The sequence below is a fragment of the Homo sapiens genome, chromosome 4 (assembly GCF_000001405.40).
Source record: "Homo sapiens chromosome 4, GRCh38.p14 Primary Assembly".
Lineage (NCBI taxonomy): Eukaryota > Metazoa > Chordata > Mammalia > Primates > Hominidae > Homo > Homo sapiens.
The window spans coordinates 99,189,387-99,202,045 of NC_000004.12; the positions used below are offsets into that span (position 1 = coordinate 99,189,387).

A 12,659-nucleotide genomic window follows, 5' to 3' on the forward strand; every position below is an offset into this window, starting at 1 on the left:
CATTTTTGGAAAATGATTATTGAGAATTGTTCAGTAACCAAATCCTCTAAAGCCTCCAGTTTCTCTTTACTCAGTGGCCATTGTTCTATCCAAACTGGCTTATCTGTTAACCATTTTAAAGGTATAGGTTCTGGAGGCTTAACAATGGCTGCCATAAAAAATGATATCCTAAACCTTGGCGGGAACTTTGTCTTTCTGCTTGAAGCGGTTCTTTCAAACCTTGCAAATTTTTTCCTAGTCCCATACCAGAGACATACCCCATTTCATGCATCATATGTTGACTTTGAGGGCTATATAATAGTTCAGGAATTAGAACTTGTGCTCTCCATTGTTGTAATAAATCTCTCCCCCATAAATTTATAGGTACAGAAGTTATAACTGGTTGAATAGTCCCAGGTGGTCCATCAGACCCTTCACAATGCAAAATATAACTACTTTGATATACTTCAGAGGCTTTACCAACTCCAACTATGTTAAAATGAGTGGGTGGAATTGGCCATGCAGACGGCCAGTGCTGTAGAGAAATGATTGAAATGTCCATTCCTCTATCTACCAAACCTTTAAATTTCTTCCCCTGAATAGTTATTTCACAGGTAGGACATTTATCAGTAATTTGATTTACCCAATAAGCTGCTTTGCCTTGTTAATTTGTGCTTCCAAATCCTCCTGTTCATTTAATTTCACTTTTCCCCATTCCCAGATATGACGCAATCAGGAGCTGTGCTATGCGCTCTCCTGGCTCTGCTTTCCAGAGAACAGAAGTAGATATAACAATTTGAATTTTGCCATTGTAATCTGAATCAATGACTCCTGTTTGTACTTATACCCCTTTTAAACTTAAACTAGACCTTCCTAAAAGTAATCCTATCATTCCCGCTGGCATGGGTCCACAGACTCCTGTTGGGACCTTTTGCAGGGGTTCCCCAGGCAGAAGGCTCACAGCTTTTGTGCAGCATAAATCTACTGCAGCACTACCAGCTGTGCTGGGGGACAGACATTGTATATGGGTGAGGGAATGGCCTGAGCCGGAAATGCCCCAGTTTGGAATGGGGTCCAGGATGGGCCCCTCATGGCGTTTCCTGAATTTAAAAGGAAAAGGCTCAAACGTAGCTGTAATATTTCCTGTTGATCAGGTGGGTGTGTTCTAACACAGAACTGCCAAGCCTCTAAATCATCCTCTCATCTAGCTTGCTGAATTCCTGCCTGAATAGAACTGAGAGCAGTCACTCAAGGCACCACTCGAACAGTCACTGGGGCAACTACTTTTTGCCTATTGTCCTCCGGTGGTGGGTCAGGCTACTCTTTATTCAAAATAATAGGAGGTGCAGAAGGGTAGGGGTGAACCTCTCCCCCCTTTGCCACTTTAGCTTTAGCTGGCAAACAAACCTGCTCTGTCACTTCTTCTGTTACTTCATTATACTCTCCTTCCCCCTTATTATTAGTGTGAAAAGGTTCCAAGGTGGAATGAACCAGAGCCCACACTTGTCCCATTGTTACCCTGATGCTTCTGAGCTCCCCTTCTTACTCACCATGAGGATTGCTTTAAGAGTACTTGGGTGTCCTCCAGCTTAGTTCCATGTTCTCCAACCGTCACTCTGGTGACCCTTCGACGTGGATAAGAGCCCCCACGTATAGGCACCACTTGCCGAGACCAGCTCAGTTGGGGAGACTCTAACCCAGTGGCGCTAGAGGAATTAAAGACACACACACAGAAATATAGAGGTGTGGAGTGGGAAATCAGGGGTCTCACAGCCTTCAGAGCTCAGAGCCTTGAACAGAGATTTACCCAAGTATTTTTTGACAGCAAGCCAGTGATAAGCATTGTTTCTATAGATTATAGATTAACTAAAAGTATTCCTTATGGGAAACAAAGGGATGGGCCGAAATAAAGGGATGGGTCTGGCTGGTTATCTGCAGCAGGAGTGTGTCCTTAAGGCACAGATTGCTCATGCTATTGTTTGTGGTTTAAGAACGCCTTTAAGTGGTTTTCTGCCCTGGGTGAGCCAGGTGTTCCTTGCCCTCATTCTGGTAAACCCACAACCTTCAGCGTGGGTGTCATGGCCATCACAAACATGTCATAGTGCTGCAGAGATTTTGTTTATGGCCAGTTTTGGGGCCAGTTTATGGCCACATTTTGGGGGACCTGTTCGCAACACATTGATATCATCATATGGTTTTTGTTTTTAGTTCTGTTTATGTGATGAATGACATTTATTGATTAGAATATGTTGAACCAGCCTTGCAGTTTTTGGATAAAGCCTACGTGATTGTGGTGGATTACCTTTTTGATGTGCTGCTGGGTTTGGTTTGCCCGTATTCGGTTGAGGACTTTTACATCTATGTTAATCAGAGTTATTGGCCTGAACTTTTCTTTTATTTTTGTGCCTTTGCCAGGTTTTGGTATCAGAGTGATCCTGGCCTCATAGAATGAATTCGGGAGGAGTTCCTCCTCCTCAATTTTTTGGAATAGTTTCAGCAGGAAGGGTACCAGCTCTTCTTTATACATTTGATAGCATTTGGCTGTGTATTTGTCTGGTTCAGGACCTTTTCTAATTGGTAGGCTTTTTAATTACTGACTCAATATCAGAACTCATTATTGGTCTGTTCAGCGTTTCAATTTCTTCCTGATTCAATCTTTGGAGGTTGTATCTTTCCAGGGATTCATCCATTTCTTGTAAGTTTTCTAGTGTGTGTGCATAGACGTGTTCATAATAGTCTCTGAGGGCTTTCTTGTGTTTCTATGGGGTCGGTGGTAATGTCCTCTTTGCCCTTTCTGATTATGTTTACTTGTATCCTCTCTTTCTTTTTTCTTGATTAGTCTAGCTAGTGATCTGTCAACATTTTTATGTTTCGCTGCCATCCTAGAAAGGGGCTATAGTGCTGCAGGTGTCCACTTTCAGGTGGTGCCTGCATATCGTGCAGAATCATCTGTGAACCAGGCCCTAGTCTTCTGTTTCTCTGTCAACTGATCATAGGGAACTCCCCATGAGGCCTTCAGTGCAGGCTGGTGGAGACAAGGCAGGGAGGCAGGAGTGGAGACTATGGGCATTTGAGCCACTTCCTCATGTAACTTACTTGTGCCTTCAGGACCTGCTCAAGCCTGATCACATATATACCACTTCCATTTGATGATGGGATGCTCCTGTACATGACCCACTTTATGGCTAGATGGGTCAGAAAGCACCCAGTTCGTGATAGGCAGTTCAGGTCGCATGGTGACTTGATGACCCATAGTCAAACATTCAGGTTCCACCAAAGCCCAGTAACAGGCCAAGAGCTATCTCTCAAAAGGAGAGTAGTTATCTGCAGAAGATGGCAGGGCCTTGCTCCAAAATCCTAGATGCTCTTCTGTGATTCATCTACGGGGGCCTGCTAAAGGCTCCAGTCACCATCCTATCTGCCACTGACACCTCAGGCACCTTTGGATCTGCTGGGTCATATGGCCCAAGTGGCAGAGCAGCTTGCACAGCAGCCTGGACCTGTTGCAGAACCTTCTCCTGTTCTGGACCCCACTCAGAACTGGCAGCCTTTTGAGTCACTTGATAAATGGGTCAGAGTAACACAACCAAATGCGGAAAGTGTTGCCTCCAAAATCCAAATAGGCCCACAGGGTGTTGTGCCTCTTTCTTGGTTGTAGAAGGGGCCAAATGCAGCAACTTATCCTTCACTTTAGAAGGAATATCTTGACAGGCTCCACACCACCAGGCCCCTAGAAATTTTTACTGAGGTAGAAGGTTCCTGAATTTTAGTCAGATTTATTTCCTATCCTCTGGCACACAAATGTCTCACCAATAAGTCCAGTGTGTTTGCTACTTCTTGCTCACTGAATCCAGTCAACCTAATGTCATCAATATAATGCACCAGTGTGATATCTTGCAGAAGCTAAAAGCTATCAAGGGCTCTCTGAATAAGATTTTGACACAAAGGCAGGGAGCTGGTAAACCCCTGAGGTAAGACAGTAAAAGTATATTGCTTGCCTTGCCAGCTGAAGGCAAATTGCTTCTGGTGGGCCTTATGGACAGGAATGGAGAAAAAGGCATTTGCCAAATCAATGGCTGCATACCAGGTATCAGGATATGTGTTAATTTGCTCAAGCAATGAAACTACAATTTCAATTATGTCACCCCAATTGGAGTCACCACTTGGTTAAACTTGCAATAATTCATTGTTATTCTCTAAGATCCATCTGTCTTCTGCACAGGCCAAATAAGAGGGTTGAATGGCTATGTGGTGGGAATCACCACCCCTGCGTCTTTCAAGTCCTTGATGGTGGCACTAATCTTTGCAGTCCCTCCAGGGATGTGATATTGTTTTTGATTTACTATTTTTATAGGTAGAGTCAGCTGTAATGGTGTCCATTTGGCCTTCCCACCATAGTAGCCCTCAGTCTACAAGTCAGGGAGCCAATGTGGGGGTTCTGCCAGCTGATAAGTATGTCTATGCCAATTATGCATTCTGGCACTGGGAAAATGACCACAGGATGTGTTCAGGGACACACTGGACCCACTGTAAGTCAGACCTGAACTAAAACTCCATTAATTACCTGACCTCTGTAACTGCTACTTTAACTGGAGGACCACAATGATATTTTGGGTCCCCTGGAATCAACATCAGCTCAGAGCCAATGTCCAGTAGTCCCTGAAATGTCTGATTATTTCCTTTTCCCCAGTGCAGTTACCCTGGTAAAATGCTGGAGGGCTCCTTGGGGAAGGATGGGAGAAAGATTCACTGCATAAATTGTTGGTAATGTAGTGGGGTCCTTTCTTTTCTTTTTTTTTTTTTTTTTGAGATGGAGTCTCGCTCTGTCACCCAGGCTAGAGTGCAGTGGGGCGATCTCGGCTCATTGCAAGCTCTGTCTCCCGGGTTCATGCCATTCTCCTGCCTCAGCCTCCTGAGTAGCTGAGACTACAGGCACCCGCCACCATGCCCGGCTAATTTTTTTGTATTTTTGGTACAGACGGGGTTTCACCATGTTAGCCAGGTGTGGGGTCCTTTCTTAAGAAGACTTGGCCTCCCGCCTCTGCCTCCTGGGTTCAGGCGATTCTCCTGCCTCAGCCCCTCGAGTAGCTGTGATTACAGGCATACTGTGGCCACCCTGATTGGCTAACGGGGTTTCTCCATGTTGGTCAGGCTGGTCTCGAACTCCCGACCTCAGGTGATCCACCCGCCTTGGACTCCCAAAGGGTTGGGATTACAGGCGTGAGCCACCGTGCCCATCTTGGTTTTAATTTTTATCTTAAATTTATTTTTAGTTTTGTTTTCAGAGATAGGGTCTCACTCTGATTGTAGTGGTAGAATCAGAGCTCACTGCAACTTCAAACTCCTGGGCTCCAGTAATCCTCCCTCTCCAACCTCCCTAAGTAGGTGGGAGCAAGTTTGTCCAAACCTCAGTCCACAGGCTGCATAAGGTCCAAGACAGCTTTGAATGCAGCCCAACACAAATTTGTAAACTTTCTTAAAACATTATGGTATTTTCTTTCCAATTTTGTTTTTTCTAGCTCATCAGCTGTTGTATTTTAGGTAGAGATGCGGGTCTCACTGTGTTGCCAGGCTGGTCTCCAACTCCTGGCCTCAAGCAATCCTCCCACCTTGGCTTCTCAATGTGCTGAGATTATAGGTGTGACCACTCTCAGCCCATTTGCCTGTTAATGGGTATTTGCATTCCAGGTTTTGTTTTTTTTTTTTTTTTGAGGCAGGATCTTGTTGTGTCACCCAGGTTGGAGTGCAGTGGTGCGATCATGGCTTACTGCAGTCTCCATCTGCCAAGCTCACACGATTGTCCTTCTTCAGCCTCCCTAGTGGCTGAGATTGCTATGTATTTTTAGTAGAGACAGTGTTTCACCATGTTGCCCAGGCTGGTTTCCAACTTCTGGCCTCAAGCAATCCTCCTGCCTTGACCTCCCAAAGGGTTGGGATTACAGGCAATTACAAATACAGTTGCTATGAATATTTGTGTACAAGTCCTTCTGTGGACATGTGCTTTCATTCCTTTTGAGTAAATACCTAGGGATGGAACATCTGAATCACATGCAAATAAATATATGCTTACCCTTTTAAGAAACTTCGTAAGTTTTTTCCAAAGTGGTTGTACCATTTCATATTCCCAATAGTAGTGTATGAGTTTCAGTTGCTCTATGTTCTGACAAATTCTTGGTATGACTAGTCTTTTGGAATTTACCATCAAATAGGTAGGGTATGTTGTTGAGGTCTTAATTTGTATTTTTCTCTTAATCTGTATTTCTCTAATGACTAATGATACTGCATATCTTTTCATGCCTTTATTTGTCATTGATATATGGCTTCTTTGATGAAATGTCTCTTCAAACCTTTTGCTCATTTGTTTTTTGGGTTATTATTGAGGTATGAGAGTTCAAAAAATAGACACTCAGGATATAATTTTTTTTTTTGAGACAGAGTCTCGCCCTGTTGCCCAGGCTGGGGTGCAGTGGTGTGGTCTCGGCTCACTGCAACCTCTGCCTCCTGGGTTCAGGTGATTCTCCTGCTTCGGCCTCCCGGGTAGCTGGGACTGCAAGTGCCTGCCACCATGCCAGGCTAATTCTTGTATTTTTAGTAGAGACGGGGTTTCACCACGTTGGCCGGGCTGGTCTCAAACTCCTGACCTTGTGGTCCGCCCACCTGGGCCTCCCAAAGTGCTGGGATTGCAGGCGTGAGCCACCTCGCCCGGCCTGGATACAAATTATTTACCAGGGCCCAGCGTGGTGGCTCACACTTGTAATTCTGGCACTTCGAGAGGCTGAGGCAGGTGGATTGCTTGAGTCAAGGAGTTCGAGACCAGCCTGGGCAACATGGGGAAACTCCATCCTCTATAACAAATACAATAATTAGCCAGGCATGGTGATGCACACCTGTGGTCCCAGTTACTAAGGAGGCTGAGGTGGGAGGATCGCTTGAGCCTGGGAGGTCAAGGTAGCAGTGAGTCGTGAGCATGCCACTATACTCTAGCTCTTTTGAGACACAGCAAGACCCTGTCTCAAAAAAAAAAAAAAAAAAAAAGAAAAGAAAAAAAGAAAAAACCAAAACACACTCACAATCTTATCCCATACGTGATTTGCAAATAGCTGCTTCAGTTTTTGGCTTGTCTTTCCATTCTCTTTCTGGGGCTGCAGTGAGCTATCATACTCCTGGGCTCAAGTGATCCTCTGCCTCAGCCTCTCAAGTAGCTGGGACTGTATGTGCATGCCACCATGCCTGACTCAAATATTTTTGATGCTGTTGTAAATGGTATTTTAAATTTCAATTTCAGATTGTTCATTGCTGGTGTACTACAAATGCAATTGACATTTGTGTATTGATTTTATGACCTGTAGTCTTGGTCATTTATTTCATCTGATAGTTTTTTGTAGATTTTGTGCCAGAGTTTTCAATAAATAAAACGATAAAACCAGTTTTACTTCAAAAAAAAAAAAAAAGAACTGGCCTCCCCTTCATTCAAGAGGTTCTGGGTCTGTAAACTGGCCCAAGTCTGGAAATTGCTTGAGGGGCTGTGATTCTCTGTTTTTGTAACTCAAATTAGTCTTTTGTCCATTCGACCTGAAAGTTTTCTGCTTATATAAGTTAAGTAGGAATGCAGTAGCTTTCCTATCAATTTTGCTTCTAGGAACACCATAATTAATTAGCCAATGCCAGAGCTCTACATGAGGCAGACTATTCTGATTGCTGCTTTGCCTTTGCTGTCGATTACAGTAGTTACGTACACCTTGCCTTTAATGTTTGAGTGCCACCACTTGGCCCCTGCCACCTCAGGATCCAATTATTCCCATTGTATTTAAATTTTGTAATTGAGTGACTATCGATCCCACTGTTAGATCTAACATACAGTGAAGAGCAATCACAGGGCTCTTCAAGGATGCAAGTGCTACCCTCGCAAATCTATTTCACAAAGCATTGGTTACAGGTATATCTTCTGCACCCTCCCAGTTGGGATGAGTAGATCTAAAGTGACTAATCCACTCCACCATCCCAATTTCTGTGAGCCTTTTGATCCCCTCCTCTACATCAAACCAAGGGAGATCAGGCATTTCCAGCTCGCTCACAGTGGGCCATCTTTTAATCCATATTTCAGCTAACCAAGCAAATAAATTATTAGAACCTTTTTTAACTCCCCAAGCTGCAACATTAACTGCAGAATCCCTACTTAGTAGGCCCAAATCAATAAATTCAGCCTGACCCAGTGCTATGTTCCTTTCACCATTATCCCACACCCTTATTATCCATTCCCATGCCTGTTCTCCAGATTTCTGCTTATATAAATTAGAAAACCCAAGCAGTTCTTTTCGAGTGTAGTGTGCCTCCCCATGGGTCACACTCAACCTTACCTCTAGGGGTCTGTGGGGACTTTAGTCTAATTATAGGTCTAGAAGCAAACGGGGGTGTTGGGGGTGGCTCCTGAGGTGAATCAACATTATCTTGCCTGGCAACTGTTCAAGGGGGGCCATCACTATTGCCTCAGGCAGTACAGGGTATATCTCTTCAGACAAAGGTGGAAAGGCTGATGGCAGCATGGGTTGGGGAGGGGTGTTGCCGCTGCTGGAGATGGGGAAGCTGTTTCTTCTGGCAAAGAAGGTTCATCAGAGTTTACAAGCTCAGTGTCCCCAGCTTCATCACAGTCATCCCACACATCCCCATTCCAAGTTTCAGGGTCTCATTCTTTTCAAATCAATGCCCTCACTTTAACAGGAGACACCTGGTGGGGCTCTCCATGCACCTATCATTGCAGGTCAGCCACTTGCATGATAAGAGCTTGTGTCTGTTTTTCCACAATTTCAGCTCTTCTCTACAGGAGATAAGACTGTCAGGGCAATCTTAGCAGATTTGAGGCTCAGTATCTGCTTCTGATGCCTGGAGTTAGAATCCCTGAGTTCATCATTTTCTTTCTTCACTCTGTCCAGTGAACTTAGGAGCAACCAACCAACTTCATTGTGTCTCTTGGTTCTCCACATATAGTCAAAGGTATTACTTATAGAGTCACTAAACTCCTTGCCTCTCATGAGTGGTGAATCAGTAGTGTCAAATGCATTTATTTTGCATAACTGTCTAAACAGTTCATACCAAGGACTACCAGTATTCTCCATACTATTAGAAGTAGAGTCCTTAGCATTTTTGGGTGTAATCATATTAAGCAGCCAACTCCAGAAATCCCAAAACCAATGAAAGAACTCCATCCTTAATATTCTGTTCCTCTAGAACCACTCCTGGTGCCAAAATCTGTATTAGTTAGGGTTCTCTAGAGAAACAGAACTAATACGTAGGTATTTTATGTATATATATATATACACGCACACACACACACACACACACATATATATAGGAGTTTATTAAGAAGTATTAAGTAACATGATCACAAGGTCCCACAATAGGCTGTCTGTAAGCTGAGGAGCAAGGAAGCCCGTCTGAGTCCCAAAGCTGAAGAACTTGGAGTTTGATGTTCGAGGGCAGGAAGCATCCAGCATGGGAGAAAGACGTAGGCTGGGAGGCTAAGCCAGTCTAGTCTTTTCACATTTTTCTGCCTGCTTTTAAATTCTGGCCATGCTGGCAGCTGATTAAATGGTGCCCACCCAGATTAAGCGTGGGTCTGCCTTTCCCATCCCACTGACTCAAATGTTAATCTCCTTTTGCAACACCCTCACAGACACACCCAGGATCAATACTTTGCATCCTTTGAATCCAATTAAGTTGACACTCAGTATTAACCATCACACTGCCTTTTTCTACTTTTGTTTGCTCGGTTGATTTCTCTCCATCTTTTTACTTTGAGCCTCTTCTGTCTTTGTATGTGAGATGGGTCTCTTGAAGACAGCATATAGTCTAGTCCTGCTTGTTTATCCAATTTGCCAATCTGTGCCTTTTAAGTGGGGTTTTTAGCCCACTTACATTCAAGGTTAGCATAGATAGGTGGAGATTTGATCCTGTCATTGTGTTGTTAGCTGGTTATTATCCAGAATTGATTGTGCAGTTGGTTATAATGTCAACTGTCTATGTACTTAAGTGTGTTTTTTTGGTGGCCAGTAATGGTTTTTCATTTCCATATTTAACATTCTGTTAAGTACCTCTTGTAAGGCATGTCTGGTGGTAACAAATTCCCTTAGCATTTGCTTGTTTAAAAATAACCTTATTTCTCCTATACTTATGAAGCTTAGTTTTGTTGGATATGAAATTCTTGGTTGTAGTTTCTTTTCTTTAAGAATGCTGAATACAGGCCCCCAATCTCTTCTGGTTTGTAGGGTTATTGCTGATAGGTTTGCTGTTAGCCCAATGGGCTTTCCTCTATATGTTATTTGCCCCTTTTTTCTAGCTGCCTTTAATATTTTTTCTTTCATGTAAACCTTAGAAAATCTGATGACTATGTGTTGTATTATTTAGTTCTAGTACTGCTATAAAGGAATACCTGAGACTGGGTAATTTATAAAGAAAATATGTTTAATTGGCTTATGGTTTTATAGGCTGTATAGGAAGCATAGCAGCTTCTGCTTTGGGGGAGGATTAAGAAAACTTACAATCATGGTAGAAGGCAAAGTGGGAGGGAAGCATGTCACATGGATGGGGCAAGAGGAAAGTTGCAGGGGATGTGCTACACATTTTTAAACAACCAGACCTCATGAGAAGTCATTCACTATCATGAGAACAGGACCAAGGGGGAAATCCATCCCGATGATCCAATCACCTCCGATCAGGACCCACCTCCAACATTGGGGATTAAGATTTGACATGCAATTTGGGCAAGGACACAGATCTAAACTATATCATTCTGCCCCTGACCCCTCTCAGATATCATGTCTTTCTCACATTTTGAAATACAATCTTGCCTTCCTAACAGCCCCTCAGAATCTTAACTCATTCTAGCATTAACTCAAAAGTTAAAGGTCCAGAGTTTCATCTGAGACAAGGCTAGTCTCTTCTACCCATTAACCTGTAAAATCTAAAACAAGTTAATGATTTCCAAGATACAATGGGGATACAGGCATTGGGTAACTACTCCTATTCCAAAAGGGATAAATTGGCCAAAAGAAAGGAGCTACAGGCCCTACATAAGTCCTAATATAGTTCACGATAGCCTACATAATAGGCCCTACATAAGTCCTAATATAAACTTGAGTATAAGAGTGCATTTTAAAACTGGCTACCAAAGGGGGCAACTAGAGTTTAATCTCATGGAAAACTCTCTGGCCTTGTTTATTTTGTAGAGACTTCTACCAGTCACTTGTGGAGGGCTGCTTGGTGGGGTATAAATTCCCTAGGTCTTCTGGGCTGTTTTAACAGAAGTAGGCAGATCAATCTTCTATAGTTCTGGCAAAAGCCCTCAGACATGAGAGTGCTGACACCAGCAGCTGAAAGCTAATGGGGCACAGAGAAGTGGTAAGGTCCTAGGAATATGGATGAGGTACTGATGGCAGCAGCTACAAGAACCTTTCATGTAACTTGTACTCACAGCCATTGGCTTTAGATGCAAAATTTTTCTCCTTAATTGCACCTTAATACACAGCTTCTCAATTGTGCCTTAACGCACAGCTTGTCAATTATTTTTCCTACTTCCAGTCTCTGTCCTCTTCATACTATCCTCCACAGTGCTGCCAAAGGCATTTTGTTTTTCTTTTTGTGAGACAGGGTCTCGCTTTTTTGCCCAGGATGGAGAGCAGTAGCATAATCCTGGCACACTGCAGCCTCCAACTTCTTGGCTTTAGATTCTCCTACCTCATCCTCCCGAGTAGCTGGGACTAGAGGCATGTACCGCCATGTCTGGCTAATTTTTTTTTTTTTTTTTAACTTTTTGTAGAGAATAGGTCTTGCTATGTTGCCCAGGCTGAAAAGTCATGTTTTTCTGAAACACAGATTTGGGCATGCCAATCCTTTCCTTGAAAACCTCTGTAACTATCCCTGGTCTATAGAACTAAATCCTTCCCCCTCTTCATTGTTTGGTCCAGCCACACCTCTCTCTCACCTTTCTCACATTCACCATCACAGCCCATACTCTTTCACCAACTTGAACTTTTCTCATGCTATTACATAGGCTCGCAATATTCTTTCTCCACTTGGCAAAACCTGATGCACCCATTGAGGCTAAACTTCAGGTTTCCTTCTCTGTGTATTTTTCTCTAATCTCTCCTAGGTAGGACTAATTTTTCCCCTCTGTTTATTGGTTGATTTTTCCTCTGATATAATAGTTACTATATTGCATTTTAATTACTTTCATATCTGTGTCCCTAGATGTCAAGCTGTATAGAGTCTTCAATACTATGTACATTACTAAATAAATGTTGGTTGAGTGAGTGATTAGTTAAGAGACTATCAAAGCTCATCAAAAAGGCAAAAACAAAACAAAACAAGAACGAAGTTCATACTCTTGTCAGTCCTCCAGTGATTGGTCGTCTGGCTTATGAATGATGTTAGAGAGAAATAAGTGGGAGAAATCAAATTCTTTTGAAATTATTGCGTAGGGAAATGTCAAATTTCACCACTAGAGAGAACCCTAGTGTTAACTTACAACATTTAATAGGAAACTGAGGGTGTGTATAGGATTTAAAACATTTTCAGAAGCTTGTGCCAATATCAGTATAAAGGCTTCATTGTGAATATGTAGGAGCTGATGGTTCTCACTTGAAAATTATCAGGGAACATTAACTCTCAATGTTTGGTAGTGCATA

General features: G+C 43.0%; 1 long non-coding RNA gene across 1 annotated transcript in view; it reads left to right on the forward strand.

The window, feature by feature from the left end:
* LOC100507053 (uncharacterized) overlaps positions 1–12,659 on the forward strand; it is a 212,500-nt gene that overhangs the window by 100,530 nt on the left and 99,311 nt on the right. The window lies entirely within an intron of this gene.